Source organism: Homo sapiens, chromosome 13 (genome assembly GCF_000001405.40).
Source record: "Homo sapiens chromosome 13, GRCh38.p14 Primary Assembly".
Classification (NCBI taxonomy): domain Eukaryota; kingdom Metazoa; phylum Chordata; class Mammalia; order Primates; family Hominidae; genus Homo; species Homo sapiens.
In genome coordinates, this window is record NC_000013.11 from 42,074,735 (window position 1) to 42,099,738 (window position 25,004).

The following is a 25,004-nucleotide window of genomic DNA, read 5'->3' on the forward strand; positions in this document are numbered from 1 at the left end:
TGCTGGACTTACAAAGACTAATGAAACACGTCTACATTTTAGCTGTTCACTATCTAGTGTGGTTATCTAATGTTGAAGAAAAGCTAGAGACATGCTTCTAATAAATGCATAATTTAATTTAGCAAAACAGTTTTTGGAAAAATAGAATTGGAATTTGAAAGTGTGTGCCACTCATGAAATAAGGGTTACGTGGGGCTTTGTTTCACATGGAGCATGAGAGTGGCAATGTGTAGTAATGGAGATTAAGTTAGTACAGCAAACAGGCCTTTATGCCTTTTATACTTACTAATTGTGTGATAATAAAGGAGTTATGTAACATATTAAAACCTCAGTTTCCTAATTTTAAAATAGAGATACATTCATATGGTTGGATTGTTATACAGATTAAACGAGATAACTGCAAGTGAGCTTTGATTTACTTCTTGTTTTTTCATACTTTTTCCTGTGTTAGTCGTGTTTCTGCAGTTTGTTAAATTCATGTGTACATTTTCTAGTGGTGTTTGAAGGTGTAATAATCCTTCCAATTTGTTAATACATTTAGAATAGTGCTTTTGGGGCTAGAAGATTGGTGGTGACCATGCTGTCACATTGTTTCTCACTGTTCTAAAGTGAAAGAACTTTATAATGAAAATATTTATTTCATCATGAAAGTGTGTCTCTTGGGACCCAGGACATCAATGAATATGAGATCTAAGTGTAAAAGTGCACTAAGGACTTGGCGCAACTTCCACTATCATTATTTTTGCACCATTGTTAATCTGTATATAAAATAACTTTTTCTTTCCTTAAATCTTTCAGAAGCCCCTTTGAAACTTAGCCCTTAACAGATTTGTCAACTCATGCCTGTTGCTGCTGCTAGCTTATTTAGTCTACTGAAAGGTTATTTATTAATGTCTACAGGTTGCTGGAGCCACTAACTGAAACTTAAGAAAGGTGCAGGTGGGGACTCTTTTAAGCCTCATGCCATGATGGATGTTCATCCAGTCATCATGGTTACCATGGCAAGCACTGGCTGCTACCTGTTTCAGCAGCTTCCTCCTACTCTTTCCTATTTTCAGACTGCTATCTACATTTTACAAGCTCATTGTCACCTTGTTTCTGCCAGTGTTACCTAATTCCATCCTTGATTTCTATGCTTCTAATTGAACTTTCCTGTTTTTATTTTTAAAGGCACCAAATCTCCAGAACAGTCTTAAACAATGTTATAATACCATAAGCTTTAAGTATCATACAATAATAGCCTTTTCCTTTTTAATATAGCCCACTTTCAATGTGATTCTACTTTCCATTTGGGATTGTTGCGTGTAATCCTCTTATAGCCTTTTTCTGGAAATTCCAGATGGTGTTTGTAAATATTGTGCAAGTGTATTTTGTAAATAAATTCCTCAAAATTTAGTCTATGATTTTTTAAAAAAACCGAAGTCTGTAGGCACCAAGACACCAACTTAAGTTTTTAAAAATCACTTAACAAGTAAAATCATTTCTCATGTTGTTTGCAGCCTGTGTAACAGACTGCTGTGTTTGTTGGATAGGAGACAGCTCAATTCTTTATTGGCGTAAAGAATAAAAGAATTATTACACAGAGAGAAATTCCATGTATGCTATATTTGTATGTGCAGCTGATCTAAAGTAGTGATTCATTTTCTATTACCTGTCATATTCTTGTCACGCAAACTTTCTGTACTGGCCTTTTGGATAATGGCCAATTGAAGAGAGAAAAGAAAATCAACCCCCAACATAGAGCTGGAGGGAGAAAGACACGGTATTTATATCAGGAGAGTGTTGTGTAAGAAAACATCGTAACCCTCTTTTTTATTGCCCATTTTCCAGAAATCTTACTGCTATTCAAGTTTAGGTTAACCCCTTTTTGTCTGCAGTTGGGTCTATTTTTACTTTGTTTCTATGTCTTGTGACCATAATGTTTTAACATATAATGTTGGGAATGTAATTATTTTACCACAAATAATTTATGGCTCTTTTCCAAGAATATATAAGCAACAGAATATTGGTTTAAAAAAAGTACTGTTTAGATTTTTTTCTTTCTACAGATGTGACAGTGTAATTCATCCAAGGGAAGCTGCTTGAATCTGCTAATTAAAATGACTTGTTATAGCTCCAATTTCTGTAGGATGAGAAAGAAGTTATATAAGTTATTGGAAGTTATGGGTTCTTATTTCTTAAACATGCTGTAAAATGTGTCTGTGTGTAATTTTTTTCTTTCAGTAGTTCATAGCTGAGATTTTTATCCTGTTAAATGAAAGCCCTCAAAGATTTTCTTCATCACCTTTTATAGAATATAGAATTATGCATCACTTTCTCTTCATAATGTTTACTTACTTTCTTTTGGCAGTTTGGTTTAGATATTCTTCTTGGTACTTTCAAATTGCTCATATTTGTAATAATTCTTCCACTAGACCATTAATAAATTCTGTAACATAGCCCCTGAGAGACTGGATAGTGTATAAAAAGACTAAAAGCTGCTTTATTATTCTGCCCATATTATGAATTTCACAACATTTGTAAAAATAACAGTATGTTTTCCTGATGTGGTTTAGATCTCCACTTTATTAATACTTAAAATACTTAATAAATTAATACTTAGAATACTTAAACATGAGTTGCAAACTTCAGAGCAGAAAAACATCATTAGAGAAAGTCTGGTATCAGAACCTTGGAAAGCTTCATGAAGCTTTACTATTGATTATTACTGGTGACACTACCTTAATGTTTCAATAGCAAGAAAGAATAAAGTCATTTATCCAAGATATAAAAAAGGATCAATAGTATGGTCATACAAGGAATGACAAATACAGTTTTCTGAATATTATCCATCTGAAGCAGAATAGAAATTGGAAAATAACTTTTACTATGCTTGGCCCTGGCCTTGAACTTTTATCTGGTTAATGGAAAAGTTAGAGTGATTTAGGTCAGCCTATTTAGAAACATCTTAGACTGGTTTGTCTTTGGTTGAAGGCATTCATATTCTCTTCTGTCTAAAGAAAATAAAAGAGACAGCTGACCATCCAGATTTAAAGGCTGTCTACTTCCATTCCAACCAAATAGAATTAGGATAAAAATATCCAGCTATAATGTGAGCTGCAAGGGTAGTTTGGGGTTATTTCATCAGCAATCTAAGTGATTTTTCTGATTCCAGCCCTGCTTCCCCCTAGTTCTTTCTCTACAGTTAAAATGATCTGTTTATTTCTTTAAAAGAGAAATATTTTGGGGAAAATGAATGGAAAAGTAAAAAGAAGATAATAGTCTTTCATAGTCCCACCATCCAGAATTAAATAGCATGAACATCTTGTTATATAGTTGCTCCTATTCTTGTTTTTATTTTCTGGAACTAAAATTACTCTGTTCTTTTTGCAAATATAAATATGATACATCAAAGAATCAAAAGAAGTGTAGTAAGTACTGCATCAGTGAGCTTTCAATGTTGGAAGCAAAATATTTTAGGCGTTTTAAGCAGAAAGGGATTTAATTCAGGGAATTGCCTTCTTAAAAAATTCCTGAGAGGTCGGGATGTGTGAAAATCAGAGGCTGCCACTGGACTGTAAGTGTTAAGTTGCCATCTAGAGGTCAGGAGGCCGCTCCTATTACTGGTAGCACTGCTGCCACTGCCATAGCTGTCTCATACCTACAGGGCTGGTGACTAGATGCCGGAATATGGATTCTGGTCACTGCAAACACATACTTCTGTTGGACCTTGTTTTCTGGCTACCTGTTAACAGCTAAAAGATGGCCTTTACTTCACTTTCACCTTTCAAATCTAGTGCATCTGATTGGCAGAACTCAAATCACATCCAGAACCTATGGGAGTCTGGGAAATGGAGTTTTTAGCTTTCCTGCCCATGTGCTCTGAGGGGTTGGGCGGGGGACATGGGGGATGCACATGGATGCCAGATGCCAACAGATAATACCAAACTGAAGCATAAAACTGAAAACTCTAAAAAAACCTTGAAATTCCACTTGCCAGAAATAACTCTAATTAACATTAGGGGTACTTCATTCCAGACATACTTTCTATGCATATAGACAGATAGACAAAAATACCTTAAGAATTAGGTTCATACAATAGATATTTTAAAAGTAATTCATTTTACTTTAACATACTGACAGAATGACTGAATTTCAAATACATTACTTTCCTCTCTTAAAGAGGTATATTCTCCTTTTTTTTTTTTTTTTTTTTTTTTGAGATGGAGTCTGTCTCTGTTGCCCAGAGTGCAGTGGCATGATCTTGGCTCACTGCAACCTCCGCCTTCTGGGTTCAAGCGATTCTCCTGCCTCAGCCTCCCGAGTAGCTGGGATTTACAGGCACCCACCATCACACCCAGCTAATTTTTTATATATTTTTTAGTAGAGACGGGGTTTTGCCATGTTGCCCAGGCTGGTCTTGAACTACTGACCTCAGGTGATCCACCTGCCTCGGTCTCCCAAAGTGCTGGGATTACAGGCGTGAGCCACCATGCCTGGCCCAAGAGGCATATTCTTTAAAAATATATGTACAAAGTTATGGAGTATATGCACAAAGTTATTTGTATATTTTTAAAAAATATATACCAAGTTATGGGTATATGTACAAAGTTATGGGGTATATGTGCAATTTCATTACATGCACAGATTGCATAGTGATCAACTCAGGGCTTTTAGGGTATACATCACCCAGATAATATACAGTGTACCCACTAACCAATTTCTCATCATCCATTCCCCTCCTACCCTCTCGCCCCTCCAAGCCTCCGTTGTCTCATTTCACTAAAAGAGGGATATTCTTAAAGAAACCTCTAGGTTTAAGAACAGAGTAAAAAAATGATTTCAGTTGCTTTGGTCAGTGGGTTTTTTTGCTCTTCACCCCCATTCCAGTTTAGGTGTGCTCCCTTGACCTACTAGGAAAGATGAACTATTCTCACTCACGGAGTTCATCCCTGTCCCCTCCCACCACCTCCTAACTTTGTATGATCATGTCGACCTTTTGTTTTGTAACCATAATGCTAACTTTAAAAATTATTTTTATTTGAATGCATTCAGCACTCACCATAAGTCATTTTACCACAGTTTGTGCACTTCTGAGTTCTTTATTTTTGACTCTGTTCTTAATTACTTGTATTTCATTGTTAAGTAGTACTTCCAAGAATGGTGCATGGGTGTTTTTTGAGTTCTTTGAGGTTTGAAAATGTCTGCTTGTTGTTTTTAATACACAAATAACTTGGCTAAATATGACACTCTTTGGTCCCATTTTCCTTCCACTTTCTTTTGACTTTTTTATTGTGGAAAAACCTGAGGTCAGCCTGATTTTCTCACGTTGCTTTTTCGATCAGGATAACCTGAAAAATTCTTTCTTTATCTTTGAAGTTCAATAATTTAATGTCTTTGTTTTCACTATACCCAAATACAAAATTAAATTGCTACTTAACATGGTAATTTAGATTTCTTCCTCATCTGTTGGTGCCCTTTTTATTGTATGCTTTTTGATGTGGTGCATTCTACAGAATAGTTAATGTTTGTTAGATCAAATGTAAGAGTGTTACAGAAGGCATTTAACTGCACGATTCCAGATTCACTCTATACTTTATGAGGTGCTGAGTTTCGTACCATATAGGTGGATGAGCACTTGTGGTTATGAGATGGATTTCTGCCCCCTGGGAGAGAAGTTCCTTCCCAGCTTTGTTATTCCTTAATGAGTATATTATGACTTCCAGTATAAGCTCATACCTAGGCCGTATTCTAGTGAAATTTTTTGAGTGGTCATTATGTTTGGTGTAATGAAATGAATGAACTGTTTCCGTTTCTTGGTCATAATCTCTTGAAAACTAACTTCTGAATTCATTTTACAGAAATCTTCCTCGAAGAGTTTTAGATTCGGAAAAGGCTACTAAATATGACAATTGTGAATGAAGGAAAAATCAAGTCTACAATATTATATTAGAGTATAACAAATAATCTTTGTGACTATTTATTTGCCTGTCCTACTTTTTTTTTTCTTGAAATCTGTAAGCTCCAGGTTTCCAGGCATTTTCTGATAAGTATACCAATTTTAACTGTTATTTAAGCTTTCCTCGGAAGATTTTTATCTCATTATTTATCCGAGTTTTATATATTACAGCTTTTTATAAGATTTTATTTGAAAAAAGAGGCTTTATTGAATTTAATAGTTTAGAACTATGAATCTAAGTTCATATCACTTTACAGGCGAGGAAACTAAGAATCAGAGAAGTAAGTGACCTAGCCCAGCCCAGCCAGTAAGTCACAGAGCCTGACTCCTAATTTTTATGCTTCTTTAGCCAAACAATACTGGGAAATGAAAGCTTGGATTATTCTTTGTTCAAAATTTACCATGCTATATACATATTTTTTAATATTAGAGATACATTTTATTTTGAAATAATTACTATCATGGTTGCCAAATGAATTTTCCAATTTTATCGTTCTTTATTTTCATCATTCTTTTCTCTATTTAGGTTGCCATGCTACTAAGAAAAATCTTTCTCTCCTATTTTTTTTTTCCTGGAGATGTGTTCTCGCTCTGTTGCCCAGGCTGGAGTGCAGCGGCACGATGTTGGCTCACTGCAACTTCTACCTCCTGGGTTCAAGCGATTCTCCTACCTCAGCCTCCCAAGTAACTGGGACTACAGGTGTGCACCACCACGCCTGGCTAACTTTTGTGTTTTTAACAGAGACAGGGTTTCACCATGTAGGCCAGGCTGGTCCTGAACTCCTGACCTCAAGTGATCCACCTGCCTTGGTTTCCCAAAGTGCTGAGATTACAGGTGTGAGCTACTGCGCCTGGCCTTTTTCTCCTATTTTTAAAATTATCTTTGTATATATCAGTTTGGACTTAAACAGCTCCATGTTTTATTCAATGTATATAAGCCATTAGAATTATTATTTCTTTGGATGCCTGAATTGTCTCAGATTATAACAGTAGGAGCCACCTCAGGCTGTTTTCTCAATTCTTCTGATATGTCCCCAGCATTCTTAAGCACTTAATTTTCTGGCATAATGAGATATCCAGAGTTCATCTTGCTCTCTCTTTGCCCCAGCTTTGAAATAGCTCTTTCTCCAAGGATTCCTGCTTCCTTTCCGTGAAGAATAGTATTTAGAAACCAAGATCTGAGCCTTAGGTGTGCTCATTGGTATTGAGGTGTCACTGTTCCCAGGCCCTCTCAGTGGACAGAGTTACATCTTATTTATTTTTGTATCAATTAATATTGAAAACAATGAGTTCACATAGGAACCTTTGATTCCAGTCCACCCCACAAAGTTCATTCACATTTTTTTCCTTAGACAGTGAGAAATGTGGCTCTCATTATCCTCAATATATTTAACCTATCAGATCAATCCTCATTGCTATCCTCATTCCATGTAGTCTCTCACACCTCCTGTTGGGCTGCACACGTATCCTTCTTGCTCTGCTTGGACTCTGACACTGGCACTGGCTCATGAGGAGACCTGCATTACCCTTCTGGGCATTTGACACCCCACACTTGTCTACCTTGCTCAGTCTCACCTAATGGCTTTTGGGTTGAGTTATTAAAGAAGGGAAAACATCTTACATGTTTATTGATAGCAATAATAGCAAAAGTAAAGCTATTTTAAAAGAGTATTTTTCTAGACCTTACAATTGTATTTTTAATGACCTTCTTTATGTCCTTAGGATTTTCATATTCTTTACTTAGTGTTTATTCTCATGTTGTTTGCCTTATTATCCCAAATTATATTCAGCCATCAATTTCTATTACAGGATTTTTCCTTCCCCAGAGTTAATACATTTCCAAGACAAAGACCCATTTTCTTTTGAACTTTAGTTTATGGTACAGTGATTTTGCTTGAGGTCATGGATGATTGGATCTCACTGCTTGTCCTGCAGTAGAAATAATGTTTGTAAAATAATGCTAGGTTGCTCCAAGTAGTCAGTATTTTCAAGTCACCATTTTCACCAGGTTCTAGAATGCTGTCTAAATTTACTAAGAGAAAGGCACTCCATATTGACATTTCTTGTAGAAGGTTAGATGCCCCTTCTGTGGACATCAGTAATACTCTGTATTTCCCTTTCCTTTACATGTACAAATTGCATTGTCAATTTATATTTGTTTCCCCACTAAAGCCTCCAAACCTTGCTTGTTTTGTTTAAGTATCCCTGGGGCTCATCACAGGGCCTGTTGAAGTTCTTTTGAAATGAATTGAAGAATGTGAATAATAGTTCTAGTTCTTCGGGATAATGGAAAGCTAATAAGGTTTATGCTAGAGGCTCTTACTGCTGGGACTCTCTTCCTGTTTTTGGTTTTTAGGAAAAAAGCTAGAAAATCCAACTTCAGCTAGAGTAACAGTAGTAACTGACTTGAAAGTATGTCAAAACAAAAACTGTTAAGGTCATGAGGATTTTAAAAGATTAGTGAATATAAATGAAGATGTTTAAAGATGACACTGTTAGTAAATATGCTGCCAGTGGTCAGCATTTTAAAATGTGTGTGAAGCAAAAAACAAAAACAAAAACACAAAAAAAGAGGGAGAGAGATTTGCTTCGTGCTTCAAGGAACTTGCAACTTAAATGATGAGAAATCCAGAGGGGTGGTGATGCGAGGGTGTGGTGATACTGTAAGTAGTGGTATGACGTCGGAAGGTCATTGAAACTCTTTTTTCCGCTTGTAAAATGGTGACATGCTCTCCTCTTTCTGTTTTATTCAGCTGCGAGGCTCAAATGGAGAACTTTTAAAAACCATAGTTATACAAATGCAAGTTTGGGTTATTTTACTATTTGGTAATGCAGGAAGTTCTGGCGGGGTTCCTGGCGCCATTTTATCTAGCGCCGCCGCTGTAGGCGTGGAAGTACCTTCCCTGCCCTGGGGTATAGCGGAAGTTTGGATGCGGGCTGAACTGGGCTTCGGGTTGGACTGGGCTTCTGTGGCTTCCCTGAGCAACTCGTTGCTTCTTGAGGACCCATGTCTGGGTCACTAACCCACCCACTAATCTTTTCCCTTTAGGGAGCCCAAGCTACTAGGACAGACAACTTAACCTCTGTCTTTAAAAGCTTTTAAAGAAATATTGAAAAAATGAAACAGGCTAAATAAAAAGAGAGAGAAGAGAAAAAGTACTCCTGGAAACCAACGATATTTTCTCAAGTATTGTACTTTGTAAGAAATAAAAGTGGAATTAGTGTTAAACCCACTTTCAAGAAGCATGAACGACACGGGGATGGGCAGCATTCCTGCCCGTCTCTACCTGGAATGCAGGTAGAGACAGCGACCAAAAGTGACCTTTTACAGGTAGAGACAGCGACCAAAATATGAGAGCAAATTATGGTGAAGCCATAACTAGAAATTGATCACTAACCTTTAATCAGAATCTAGACATAATTATTGATATAAAATAACTCCTGGTCATCCATATTCATGTAAATATATTCAATATTTAATATAAAAGACAATAGACATTTATACATATATGTCTTGCATCATAGTTTGTATACGCTTACAGATGCTTGCTCCATAAAATTATTTTTAAAAATCACTTAAAAATTTTTTTTTGCCATGTTTATTCACAGGTATCTCTTGGAAGTTCTTTGCTGTTCATTTTATTGCTGTCCAAATAGAAATAGTACAATCTGTTTTCTTTTTCTTTGATACTACATCTTAGGAAATGATCCCATCTGCTATTCAGTGTTGTATATAAGAGTGCTTGTGTGTTTTTAGTTTAGGTGTAAATATTTAAAACTACCAGATTTTTTTAAAGGAAGTTATTCACAATAGCCTCATTCATCTTAAAGAGTTTTATAATTAAAAATTTTAGGTAACTAGATCTATGTTTATATAGAGTTAACCTTAGTTATATGTATTACAATGTATTGCGTATTTTTAAACAAATGTTAAAATAACTTTGATGGCTATGTTTTATTTAACCTTTATATTTTTAGAATATAATTTTACAGTTAACAATATTCTTTATAGGTTGCTACAGCTAAGGATTAGACTTTTTTTTTTCCAGGCTAGTAGTATAAACGTGCTACTAGTTTATATACCCTTAATAATTTGGGTTGGTAGTGTCTGGCAAAATGACAAGGACTTTAATGCCACCTAGGTTCTAACCATAACTAAGATGTATAGCAATTTGGAAAACAGATGTTAGTGGTTAATTTAATCTTGCTTTATTAACCTAGTGAAAAGTTTCATAATGATTGTTCTTAGTAAAAAAAAAAAAATTAATCCTATAAATAGATATGTATGCATTCTGGATTTCTGTTTTTGCTCATGATACTTTACATTGCTATTTTTATTCCTACTTTTAAACATGAAGCAGTTGTCCATTTTGAGTTACCCATTTTATGAATTGGCATATGATATAATATAAGAAAAAAATTTAAATTTAGGTTATGTTAATGCAGATGATATAAAAACAGCTGAGACATGCTAGATCATTACCTGAATTAATAGCTGGGGGATACTGACCAATGCAGTCTTTATAGGGCATGCGAAACCTCTTAGAATATAACTGAATATGTAAATCATAATTAATGTTACATTTCATGCTGGTGAAATGTAGGTGAGCAAAATAGTTTATGGATTCCCTTTCTCCCTTCCCCCTATGCTTCTCTCTCCCCAAAATGGCCGTCCTGCCTGTGAACCTCTCTAGAAGCTGCCCAGAAATGCCATGGTTCCATGGAATACACTCTGAGATACATTGCTGTAAAGGGAAAAGCCCAGTGATTGTGATTTGGAGTTTGTGGCAATAGGTAATTTGAAGGTTCTGACCATTCTCAAAATATGAGCAATAAGGCTGCTATGATATGGCAGACCTACACTGTGAAATGTTAAAAGAAATGATTTAAGATGGTAGGTTTACAGCAGAGTAAGCCTATTATGTGGATGGAAAGGATTGTTTTTGGGGAAAAATGTAAAGTAGAAATAACATTTTCAAAGAGAACAAAAAAACGAGCCAGAGTTTGATTCTAAGACATAATCTTGTGCTTTTTACTTGAAGCTAATATAGCCAGAATATTTAAGTTGAAATAATTGTTTTTAAAAAAATTATTCAACTCTTGGAAAATCCAGGTATGTTTGAAGTCCATAGTCTGAGTGATCTCTTTCCTCTATGAATTTCTGTAACACTTAAGAAATATTTTTCCAAAGATATTTACTACATACTGATACTCATGCATGATGTCTGTATTTTTATCTAACCTATTAAACTAAGTTTTTTTTTTTGAGACAGAGTCTTACTCTGTTGCCTAGGCTGGAGTGCGTAGTACAGTCATGGCTCACTGCAGCCTCTGCCTCTGGGTTCAAGCGATTCTCGTGCCTCAGCCCTTGAGTAGATGGGATTACAGGCATGCACCACTACACCCACCTAATTTTTGTATTTTTAGTAAAGATGGGGTTTCATCATGTTGTCCAGGCTGGGCTTGAACTCCTGACCTCAAGTAATCCGCCCACCTTTGTTTCCCAAAGTGTTGGGATTACAGGTGTGAGCCCCCATGCCCAGCAAACCTTAAATTTCTTATAAGAGCAATAAAAACAGGGATCTTTCACTCATCTTTGTGTCAACCTTGTTGCCTAAAGTGTTGCTTTAGATATAATCAGATTCAGTAAGTGTTTATTATGAAGAAGTGAGCAAATTTCCTTGCCATTTCTCTTACTTTGCTGTCTCTACAATATTGGTATAAGGACAAGCCTGAAAGCTATGATAACTTTATTGTTACATGGTCAACCTGAAAATTTTATATTTTTATGGTTTTGTATACTGAGGAAAAAATTACTCTAACATATATCTTCCAACTATAATTTTTCTCAAGCAAACAACAAAAATCAGTTATAATATGTTCTTTTAAAATTGATTTTATACAAATGGATTTTTAGAGAAAGGAAACAGTTTTAATTAATAACAAAATAATTTGTCTTTGGCAAGATAGACTAACAGGGACTTTCTGCCTTAAAGAACTATTCTAAACAATGGTCTGTTTTCAGACCACAGGCAGGACATGACAGTGATCACTTAGAGAAAGAGGGAAAAGCAATGTAAGAAACAAACCTGGGTGTGAGCCCTCTGATTGTCCCAACTTGCTGCCTAGAGAGTTTTCAGACCACAGTGCTGGAGGGGAAACCCAAAGAATGCCCTATGGTCTTGTTGAGTTGAAGCAGCAGAGTTCAGAGTTTGAGGAGGCTAGAATTTGTGGGGGAAAATATGAGAGAGTTGGGAACCACACAGAAAGAAAGCTCTAGAGATCTGCTGTGTCGGCCTGAGTCTGTGGCCAAGAACTATTCTGTGCGTTAATGGGAGAAAATTGTTCGAGGAAAGAAATGCCAGAAGGAAAACACACACACACACACACACACACACACACACACACACACCTCAGAACAGAGTAGGCACAACAATCCTTGAAGCTCATACAGAACTAGGAGTAGTTCATATTCCCACTGGACAGAGTGGAAAGGCCTCATAATACACAGAGATCCTGTAGAAGCCTCAGAAGGGCCTTGCCTCAGTAATGGGACAGGTTAGCCTTAGAGTAAAGGCTGCTCTGGACATGCCATAACAGAACTTAAAAAGTAAGCCTGAAATGAATTTAAGTGTATCCCACTACAAAGCCTGACAATATTTAAAGGAATACAACAAAATCCAGATCCCAACAGTGTAACATTAATAATGTTGAATATTCATTAGAGCATCATCACACATACAAAAGCTGGAAAATTCAACCCAGAAATAGGAGAAAATGTAACCAATAGAAAAGGGGTTAGAAATGAAAGGGATGATAGAATTGGTTAACAAGTTCATTCAAACAACTACTATTAGTATACTTCGTTTGTTCAAGGAGGTAAAAAAAACATGAACACAAGAGGATTCATAAAGGACTCAGATTCAACTTCTAGTGATGAAAATGCAATATCTGAAATGAAAATACTCTGAATGGGATTAACAGATACTACAGAAGTAAAGAAAAGTCAATTTGAAGACACAGAATTTAAAAATACACAATATAAAACAGAATAAAAAGTTGATGCACTGCTCATTTTTTTTTTTTTTTTGCAATGAGCTGTGGGACAGTATCATGCTTCTTACATAAGCGTATTTGGAGTTCCAGTAGGAGAAGAGAGAGAGACAGAAAAAGCATTTGAGGAAGTAATGGCCACAATTTCCCTAAATTTGATGAAAATTATAAATTCACAAAATCCAAGAAGCTCCATCAGCTTCAATCAGAAGAATCATGAACAAAACAACCTGATAGCACATCAGAATCAACTTGCAGGAAACCAGGAGTAAGGAGAAAATCCTAAAAGCAGCCAGAGGAACAAAGACAGATTTTATGTAGAACAAAGATTAAAAATTAATAGCAGATTTCTCAACAGAAACTATGACAGATAGAAGACAATAGAGCGACAGTTTTAAATGGCTAAAAGAAAAAACCATCAACCTAGAATTATATGCTCAGTGAAAAATATCTTTCAAAAGTGAAGGCAAAATAAATAATTTTGGACAAACAAAAACTGTGAGAATTTATCACCAGGAGACCTTCACTGGAAGAAATTTTAAAGGAAGCTATCTAGGCCAAATAAAAATAGTACCAGATGAAAATTTGCAAGTTCAGAGAGGAATGAAGAGCACTAGAAATAATTAGAATATGGGTAAATACAAAAGACATTTTCTGATTATTTTCCAAATTAGAGGATAATCAACTTTTTAAAGTAAAACTAATAATGTTTTCTGGGGCTTATAAACTTGTGAAATAGCAGTAGAACAAAGGAGGGGAGTTTGAGGAAATGGATGTTTACCATTGTAAGAGTCTCATACTGTAACCGAAGAGAAAATATTATTTGAGTGCACATTGTGATAAATTAAAGATGGATATAGTAAACCTTAGAGAAACCACTTTAAAAAATAGAAACACTAAAAAAAAGAGCATGAGTAATAAGCCAAAAATGTTGATAAATTGAATCCTAGAAAATACTGAGTTAATCCAAAAGAAGGCAAGAAAAAAGAAAGAAGAGATGAGACCAATATTAAACAGCAAAATTGTAGATTTAAACCTAATTATATTGATAATCACATTAATTGTAAGTTTTCTAAACACTTCCTTTTGAATGCCTTGTTGGGCTGGATAAATCAATACAATCCAATTATTTGCTCTACAAGAATCTCACTTTAAATACAAAGATACAGATGTTTTAAAAGTAAAATGATGGGAAAAGATATACCATGCAAATGTAAATCAAAAGGAAAAACTAGAGTTGTTATATTAATATCAGACAAAATAGACTTCAGAACAAGAACCATTACTAGGGATAGTGAGGGATATTACATATGACAAAGGGGTAAATTCATCAAGAAGATCTAATATCCTAAATGTGCATGCAGCCGATAACAGCTTTGAAATGCATGAAGCAAAGATTGATGGATCTGAAAGGAGAAATGGACAAATTCCCAATTATATTTGGAAATTTCAGCACCCTTTTTCAATAACTGATAGAACAAGTAGACAAAAATCAGTAAGGATATTGACTGGAACATCATTAACTAACTTGACCTAATTAATATTTGCAGAGCATTCAATCCAACAGCAGCAGACTGTACATTCTTTTCAAATATATTTCCTAAGATAGGCCATATTCTAGATAATAAAGTATTAATAAATTTAATGTTTTCATTTTTTATGGCTATGGTGACAAATGACTGCAAACTTATTGGCTTAATACAATACAAATTTATTATCTTATAGTTCTGGAGGTCTGAAGTCCAGAATGGGTCTCAGCTAAAATCAAGGTATTAGCAAAGCTGTGTTCTTTCTGGAGGCTCTGGGAAGAGAATCTATTTCTTTGCCTTCTCCAAGTGCTAGAGACCACTAACATTCTTGGCTTGCAGTTCCATTCCTCTATCTCCAACAGCAGCAATATCTAATTTTTCCTCACACCACCATCTCTGCTTCTCTGCCTTCTGCTGCCTTCTTCTACTTATAAGGATCCTTGTGATTTCATTGGGCCCCCTTGGGTAATCCAGAATAACCTCCATCTCTCAAGATCAGCTGATGAGCAAACTTAACTTCATCTGGAAACTTAATCCCCCTTTGCCACATAAAGTAAAGTATGCCCAGGTTCTGGGGATTAGGACATGGTCTCTTTGTGGAGGGACATTACTCTGCCTACTACATTTTAAATGGTTGAAATCATGTCAAATATATTCTCAGATTACAAAAAATTAAATTAGAAAAAAAACAAACCCCAGAAAGGTATTTGGAAAATTCTCACATATTTGGAAGCCAAATAATGCACTTCCAAATAACCCATGGATCAAAGAATAAATCACAACCCTAATTATAATATATTTGGAAAAGTTGGGTGAAATCCCAGAGGAGCTGACTGGAAAAAAGGTGAAGATGTGGCTACTGGAGTGGGACACTCTGATTTTGTGGAGCAACAGTCCTGGCATCTGAGGAGGGAAAACTGCACTTAAAATAGTATCAAAATGAAATATCTATGAATAAATTTTAAAAAACTGTATGCAAAATTGTGAACTAAATATTATAAAACATGCATAAAATAGATATCTTGGGTTTATATATTGGGAGGAATTAATATTGTTAAAATTTCAGTACTCTCCAAAGTGACCTACAGATTCAGTGTAATCCCTATGAAAGTTCCAGTGGCATTTTTTTCATAAATAGAAAAATACGTTCTAAATTTCATGTAGAATCTCAAGGGACCCCAAATAGACAAAACAAATCTTGGAAAAGAACAAAGTTGGATGTCTCACACTGCCTGATTTCAAAACTTATAAACTACAATAATGCAAAGAGTGGTACTGGCATAAAGACAGACATATAGACGAGTGGAATAGAATAGAGAGCCTAGAAATCAACCCATACACATATGGTCTAATGATTTTCCATGACGATGCTAAGATCTTTCACTAGGGAAAGGACAATTTTTTAACACATTGTTTTGGGAGAACTAGATATCTGTATTGCAAAAGCATGAAGTTAGACCCTTACTGCTATGATCTGAATGTTTTCGTCTCCTCCAAAATTCACATTGAAACTAAATTGCCAGTGTGAAGGTATTAAGAGGTAGGGCTTTAAAGAGGTGATTGAGCCATGGGGACAGAGCCCCCATGGATGGCATTAGGGTGCTTATGATAGGGTTTGAGGGAATGGGTGTGCTTCTCTTCTGCTCTTCTGCCGGTGAGGAGACAGCGTTCCTTCTCTCTGGAGGATGCAGCAACAAGGAGCCACCTTGGAAGCAGAGAGAGCAGCCCTCACCAACACTGAACCTGCAGGTGACTTGATCATGGACTTCCCAGCGTTCAGAACTGTGAGAAATACATTTCTGTTGTTTATAAATTACTAATTTTGTGGTATTTTGTTATAGCAGCACAAATAGACTAAGACATTTACATTACATTATATGCAAAAATTATCTCAAAAGTGATCAAAGACCTAAACATAAGAGCTAAAACTAGAAGAACATAGATATGCTCGTAGAAGAAAACATAGAAGAAAAGCTTCATGAAGAGTTTCATTAGATTTAGCAATGACTTCTTGGATATGACACCAAAACATAGATAATAAAAGAAAAAATAAATAAATTGAACCACATTAAAATTAAAAACTTCTGTGTGTCAAAAGACACTATCAAGGTTGAAAAGGTATCCTAAGAATGGGTGAAGATATTTGCAAATCATATATCTGATAAGCAGTTAATATCCAGAAAATGAAAAGAACTCCTACAATTCAACAAAAATACAAACAACCCAATTAAAAAAATGGGCAAAGGACTTGAATAGACATTTCTTCAAAGATATACAAATCATTTTGTGTAAGGCACAAGCAACAAAAGCATAAATAGATAAATGGTATTACATCGAGCTACAAAGCTCTGCATAGCAAAGGAAACAATGAAGTGAAGAGACAACCTACAGAATGGGAGGAAATATTTGCAAACTGTTCATCTGACAAGGGATTAATAACCAGAATATGGAAGGAACTCAAACAACTCAATAACAACAACAAAAAATCCGATTTAAAAATGGGCAAAATACTTGAATAGACATTTCTTAAAAGAAGACATACAAATGGCCAACAGGTATATGGAAAAATGCTCAACATCACTAATCATCAGGGAAATGCAAATCAAAACCACAATGAGCTATCATTTTACACCTGTTAGAATGGCTATTATCAAAAAGGCAAAAAATAATAAATGCTGGGATTGTTGGATCATATGGTAGTTCTTTTTTAGTTTTTTGAGGAACCTCCACGCTGTTTTCTGTAATTGGCTGTACTACTTTATAGTCTTACCAGCACTGTATGAGTGTTCATTTCACTTCAGTCAGAATGGCTATTATCAAAAGACAAAAGATAACAAGTTTTGGCAAGGATGTAAGGGGAACCCTTACACAATATTGGTAGGAATAGAAAGTAGTAAAGTAGTGCAGCCATTATGGAAAGTAGTAGAAGGTTCCTCTACAAACTAAAAATAGATCTACTGTATGATCCAGCAATCCCACTGCTGGCTATATATCCAAAAGAAACGTATCAGTATACTGAAGAAATATCTGTACTCCCATGTTTATTGCCCACTGTTCACAATAGTCAAGATATGGAATCAACCGAAGTATTCATCAATGGATGGGTGGATAAAAAATGTGGTATATATACAAAATAAAATATTATTCAGCCATGCAGCCATGAAAAGAATGAAATTCTGTCATTTTCTGTGACATGGATGGAACTGGAGGTCATTATATGAAGGGGAATAAACCAAGGACAGAAAGACAAGTATTGCATGTTTTCACTCATGTGAGAGCTTTAAAAAAGGTGAATCTTATTGAGATAGAGAGTGGAATGGTGGTTACTAGAGGCTGGGAAGGGAAACGGGGAGGGAGAGGATGAAAGAGTCTGGTTAATGGTACAAAAAATATAGTTAGATAGAAGGAGTAAGTTGTAGTGTCTGATAGTATAAAATGGAAATTATAGTTAATAATTTATTGTTTATTTCAAGAACTTTAGAAAAAAATAATCGTAATGTTACAAGCACAAAGAAAAGGTAAATGTTTAAGGTGATGGATGTCCCAATTAACCTGATTTTATCATTACACATTGTATACAAGTATCAAAAACAGCATGTGTACACCCAAAATGTTACAATTATGATACAACAATGCAAAAGTACAAAAAAATTTAAGAAGAAGGTATACAAATCATCAGCAAGCACACGAAAAGATGCTCAGCATTGGCCGGGCACAGTGGCTCACACCTAAAATCCCAGCACTTTTGGGAGGCCGAGGTGGGCAGATTGCTTGAGTCCAGGAGTTCCAGACCAGCCAGGGCAACATGGTGAAGCCCTATCTCTACTAAAAATGCAAAAATTAGCCAGGCATGGTGGCACACACTTGTAGTCCCAGCTGCTTGGGAGGCTGAGGTGGGAGGATTACCTGAGCCCGGAAGATGGAGGTTGCAGTGAACTGAGATCATGCTACTGCACTCCAGCCTGGGCGTCAGAGCAAAACTCTGTCTCCAAAAAAAAAAAAAAAGATGCTCAACATCAGTAATCATTTGGGAAATGCAATCAAAACTACGATGAGATACCACCTTACACCCACTAGGATGGCTGCTCTTAAAAAAAAAGATAAAGAAAATAGCAATGTTGGCAAGAATGTAGAGAAAGTGGGACCCTTCTGCACTGACGTATAATTGTGTAGCCATGGTGGAAAACAGTATGATGGCTCTTTAAAAAAATTAAAATAGAATTATTTCATGATCCAGCGATTTCACTTCTGGTAATATACTCAAAAGAATTGAAAGCAGGGTCTTAAAGTGATATTTATACATCTATGTTCATAGCAGTATTATTCCTAATAGCCAAAAGGTATAAACAACGCAAGTGCCAATAAACAGACGAATGGGTAAAGAAAATGTGGTGTATACATACAGTGGAGTATTTTTCAGCCTTAAACAGGAAGGGAATTCTGACATGTTCTACAGCATGGATGAACCTTGAAGGCATTATGCTAAGTGAAATAAGCCAGTCATAAAGGGATATTTCTGTATGATTCCACTTATATGAGGTACCTCGAGTAGTCGAACTTACAAAGACAGAAAGTAGGATGGTAGTTGCCAGGGGCTGAGAAGCGGGGGAGTGGGGAGTTGTTCCATGGGTGTAGAGTTTTGGTTTTGCAAGGTGAAGAATTCTGGAGATTGGTTGCACAATACTGTGAATGTACTTAACAGCACTGAACTGTACACTTAAAAATGGTTAAGATGGTAAATTTTGTCATGTGTATTTTCCCTCAATAAAAAAAACTTGCAGAAATTGTATAACAATGATGTCAAATTGAACAATGAGAACACATGGACACAGGAAGGGGAATATCACACACTGGGGCCTGTTGTGGGTTGGGGGGAGGGGGGAGGGATAGCATTAGGAGATATTCCTAATGTTAAATGATGAGTTAATGGGTGCAGCACACCGACATGGCACATGTATACATGTGTAACAAACCTGCACGTTGTGCACCTGTACCCTAAAACTTAAAGTATAATAATAAAAAAAGATGTCAAAATAGCATTTCTGATCTAACAATTGATCAACTCTGATGATACTTTTAAATTTTAAGCAGCTTTAAAAGGCAAACTTTGACTCAAACTTGTTAGTACAGTTTTCATCTTTAAATATACATTTTTTTCAATCATAAATTAGAGTTGGGCTTGGGGGAAATATTAGAATTTAGTGTGAGTCTTTGAGAAGCATCACGAAGTTCAAAGAGGTCTGTCTTGGTATCTCTGTGGTAATGCTTTGTTTGAATGTTGATGTTTCACAAAGAGTTTACATTTTATCTTCCTATTTCTCACAGGCCTAGGTCTGTGTAGTGAATTGAGCGTCCTCAGTTGGATGGAGTTAAGAGCCAAACGTACAACATTGTACCATTTACAAGTTTTATTTCAAAAGGAGATTTAAATTTTTATACAGTCAAATTTCTGCCAAAAGAGAGATTCCAAATTAATTTTTGTTTATGCAAAGCCCATATGTTGTTTTCCACAGTCTCAAAAAGAGTGCAAATTGACAGATTCCTGCATCTGTATCTCACAGGATACATATGTATCATTGCTACCACTCACTTATTTCCTGCCAGATTTTTAGCAATTGTGTTTGAAAAGAAAACCTGTAGAAAGGTAGCAGAAAACAAATGGGTAGTGGGATATGTGTCAGCTAGTTCCCTAACTATAGAAACCCTTGAAATAAGGCAAAAAACTTGTGTTAACCTGGGAAGGAAAGGAAAAATTGGGCAGCAGGATATGAAGGGGCCATGGAAGGAGCGGTGGGTCCTCCTGAGACGCTTTCCTGCTTTATAATTTTTTCCATTTTGACTGTGGGAGATACTACTGTAATACTTTCCTAGATATAGCAGCCGCTCAATAAATGTTGACTCCTTTTTTTTTTTTTTTTTTTTTTTTGAGACAGAGTCTCCCTCTGTTGCCCAGGCTGGAGTGCAGTGGTGCGATCTTGGCTCACTGCAGCCTCTGCCTCCCAGGTTCAAGTGATTCTCCTGCCTCAGCCTCCTGAGTAACTGGGATTACAGGCACCTGCCACCATGCCTGGCTAATTTTTTTATTTTTTGTAGAGATGGGATTTCACCATGTTGGCCAGGCTGGTCTTGAACACCTGAACTCAAGTGATCCCCCTGCCTCAGCCTCTCCAAGTGCTGGGATTATAGGCATGAGCCACTGCACCCAGCCAAATGTTGACTACTTTTAATGAGTGCTTAATACCTATTGGTAGAAGAAATTACATGTTGGAGTTAGGAGCTGTGTTTTTAGCCTTTTAACTTGAATTAGACACTGATGATTAGTAATTTTTTGTTCCTCCCAATTTTCTTCTATATTCCCTCTCCTTCAAAGAAAAGCAAAGGAAACTCGTTCTTCCTGTTTTTCTTAAAATGAATTTAAAATTTTACCATCTCTATATATCTATGTGAATATATATTTATATGCCCCACTTCTATAAAGCAGTATTTGATTTGGTACCTATGGATAACTATTAGCCTAATACTGCCATAATTACAATTCAATTAAGTTTATAACCTGACTTGTTCACTAGTTGGGAAGTAACTATGCATTTGTTGGCATTCTGGTTTAAAAACTTTACATTTGCTTGAACCAATCTGTCTAAATTTATAGAACAGAGTACTTACAAATGTCTAATTGTTTATTTTAAAGTTATATTGTTTCTATGTCATTGCTTGTTATTTTCTTAATAGAATTGAAAACTTTTTTGATTTTATGAATACTTATATTTTGATTTTTGTAAATTCAGTAGTTTTAGGTCACAACAAGTAATGTTTTGTCTTTCAAATTTAATTTGATTTTCATTTTATTTTAAACTTTTATGTTCAGGGGGGTCCATGTGCAGGTTTGTTACCCGGGTATATTGTGGGATGCTGAGGTTTGGAGTATGAGTGATCCTGTCACCCAGGTACTGAACACAGTACCCAACAGTTAATTTTTTAACCCCTCCCCACCTGCCCATCTAGTAGTCCTTAGTGTCTGTTGTTCCCATCTTTATGTTTATGAGTACCCAATGTTTAGCTCCCACTTATAAATGAGAACAGGCAGTATTTGGTTTTCTGTTCCTGCGTTAATTTGCTTAGGACAATGGCCTCCAGCTGCATCCATGTTGCTGCAAAGGACATGATTTCATTCTTGTTTATGGCTGCATAGTATTCCGTGGTGTATATGTACCACATTTTCTTTATCTAATCCACCATTGATGGACACCTGGGATGATTCCATGTTTTTGCCATATGACAAGTAATTTTTGAGAGACTTCAAATTTAATTCAGATCCCATTTATGTGGTAAGCTTTTCAGTCACTCCAGACTTGCCTGTTCTCTCCTGGCAATGAATTTCAATGACTTTTACCCAATAATGTCATGCATTGCACATTCTGCAAGGTTTAGTGGAATTGGCAAAGATGAATAAAATTGCTACCCTACTGGAAGCTAATGTTCCTGTTACCTGACTGAGGACCCTTTCAAGATGGAGGTATCATCATTTGAGGTGGGGTTGAGGGAACCACATGAGAAAGGAAAATGTACAAAGATTATTCAGGGACCAATGAGTTTGATCATATGGGAAGAAAAAGTCCTGCACACGTGGGTTTCCGTGTCTGAAGATGGTTCCATTTTTCTTTAACACAAGATTGGTGGTTCATCTGGGTTTAGAATTCTAGGTGAGAAGCCATTTATCTCTCAGACCATTGAAGGCATTGTTCCACTGAGTTCTAGCCTCCAGAACTGGGAAATCCTTTACAAGCTGGATCTTTGTATAATAGCTTTTCCCCAGCCTTTCCCTCCGGGGCTTTCAGGATCTTCTCTTTTCCTTAGGAATCTGAAACTTCAAAGTGAAATTCGTGTGGGTTTATTTTCATCCATTGTGTGGGCTTTTTGTATTCCCTTTCAGTTTTCAGTTCTGGGAAATTGTCTTGAATTAGCTCTTCCTTCTGTTTTCTCTGGTCTTTCTTTTTGGAATCACTATTATTTAGATGTTGGACCTCTTCCACTTACTGTGTAATTTTCCTATCTCCCTATCTCCCCCATTTTTCATCTTTTTGTCTTTTCATTCACACACACAAGAGAACACGAATACCCTTGAAGCCGACTGGAATCTCTGTGTTGGTTCAGTGGGGGGACTTGTCGCCTGTGTCCGTCACTGTTTAATCAAACTAGTCATTTTGTTGGTAACCCCTGTTATCAGCATTTTTTAACTCTTTTCTCTCAACTTTGTTAGATCCCCAAATAAGACTCATCCAGTGGAAAGTTGTAGCCCCAGATGCCGGCAACTGGGAGCCCAATAAACAGGAAATCCAGGGAACTCTGAATATTTAATATGTAAAATTTGTGTAACCCTCCTGTTTTCAATAATATATTCTTGCCCTCAGTTATTTTTGGGTCTTCTATTCCAGACATTCTCTGCTGGACCCTCTCCAGAATAAACCTCCAGCCTTATTCCTGGGTGGGGGAGGCAGTTGCAGCTTTCCAGAGGTGAAGAAATAGGGAGTGAGGTGCAGGGGGTGTGTAAGGGGAGGAAGGAGCACTTAGTGATTCTAAAATACATTTTCACCCAATCCTTGTTAGCTTCATCTTATCCTGGCATCCAGAGGTACATGGTACTGCCAGTTTTTGAGACATTTGAGGATTGTTTGTTCAAGTGAGTTGATTTTCAACCCTATATCTGTCTTCTGGTTGTGCTAAGTCAATTCTCAGCCATCCATCTGCTTTATATCTTACAAAATCTTCCAGTTCTTGTCTTCTCTCCCATTTTGTTTTCCTTATAGTTTTACACATTTTTAGAAGTCTCTTTTTTATTGGGAATGAGTAGAGCTAAAAGCCTACACTCATTAAGGTGTTTTTAATTAGGAATTTGAGAAATTAAAACTTTACACAGGTGAAAAAATAATTAATATTATAAATTGAAAATTAGGCCAGGGCACGGTGCCTCATGCCTGTAATCCCAGTACTTTGGGAGGCCAAGGTGGGCAGATCACTGGAGGCCAGAAGTTCAAGACCAGCCTGGCCAACATGGCGAAACCCTGTCTCTACTAAAAATACAAAAATTAGCTGGGCATGGTGGCACATGCCTGTGGTCCCAGCTACTCGGGAGGCTGAGGCATGAGAATGACTTGAACTCGGGATGCAGAGGTTCCAGCGAGCCAAGATCATGCCACTGCACTTCAGCCTGAGCAACAGAGCGAGACTCTGTCTCAAAAAAAAAAAATAAATTAATACTTAAAAGTTTGTTAATGTGTAGTGGCATTTGTGTCATATTTTAGGAGCCATTCCTTTTGATGACACTTACAAAATCAATCAGAAGATTCTTAAGTATATGATTCTTCAAGTTTTTATTTTCTTTATGTTCTTAATGTCATGCTGGTCTCTTTGTGATCTAAATGATGCAGTGAATATTTCATAAATACAAATAATTTAATCTTAAATTTGTTAATAGTGTGTATTTATAAAGTGAATTTTATTAAAAATCCACTAACAACTGTTTGAGTGCATCTTTGTGCTAATGCTATGAGGTAATTATATTCTTAAGCTAAAGTCAGCACTTCCGAATTACTCTCAGGTGAGAAAAATAACTTTTAATATGAAAGGACACATTCCGGAAGTACACTGGAGTGCATAAGGAGTTACCAAAGAGTTTTCTTGTTGGAAAAATTACAAATTCATAGGAAACATGATTAAATGCCAAATTCTATATTAGACTTAATTGCAATAGAAGGTCAGAGAGAGAGAAATCAGTGTGGGCCAGGATAGCAAGAGGTTGCTTCATCCCTGCTTGTGTAGCCTTTTGTCAAAAATGCACCTTTAAAACTGGACTCCTCATCTTCTCGCCCACACTAATTCATAGAGTCAGGTTTGCGAGTAACCTTAAAGGTGCTCAGTTCACTGGCGCTTTCCGGCTGATTTCATCCTGTCCTGCTTGTGTTTCTTTGCCTTATTCCACATTATCAAGGCTTGTTGATTCTTCCTTTGTAACAGGTCTCAGTTTGTCCATTCAATCTAGTGCCTCAACATGTTTATTTAAGCATCTACTGTGTGTCAGATGTTGTGCAGAGTGCGGGGCTGAATAAGGGCCCTGAAGGAGCCTGCATCCCTTCATGTGTGCAGTGGACACAGAAAATTTCCGGAAAAATGTGGGGTGTGCTAGGAAAGTGTTCACACTGGGTCTGTGGCAGCATGGAGGATTGATGCTGAAGCCACCTGGGGAGAAGACCTGAGAGAGCAGGGGGTATTTGGGCATAGTTCAGTGTCTCTGAAGTGTGAATGGCGGGGCTGAGGCCATCTTCACTGCAGGTGAAGCAGCACTGGTAGTAAGCAAGGGTAAAGGCTTGAAAGGTGTGTTACCCATTCAGCAAATATTTATTGTGTGCCAACTACGAGCTAGGCAACTATTTTGCAACCGAATGCAACAGTGAAGAAAACATGAAAAGCATAAGTATGATAAATAAGAT

The 25,004-nt window shown here is 36.4% G+C and overlaps 1 protein-coding gene across 3 annotated transcripts in view, besides 1 other annotated feature; it reads left to right on the forward strand.

Moving 5' to 3' along the window:
* Positions 1-25,004, forward strand: part of DGKH (diacylglycerol kinase eta) — a 216,515-nt gene that overhangs the window by 34,665 nt on the left and 156,846 nt on the right. The window lies entirely within an intron of this gene.
* Positions 20,039-20,333: a silencer, noted in NCBI's record as "tiled region #14917; HepG2 Repressive non-DNase unmatched - State 24:Quies". NCBI's record gives its function as "represses a minimal TATA promoter and a strong SV40 promoter by Sharpr-MPRA in HepG2 cells {active_cell/tissue: HepG2}" and the evidence as "EXISTENCE:reporter gene assay evidence [ECO:0000049][PMID:27701403]".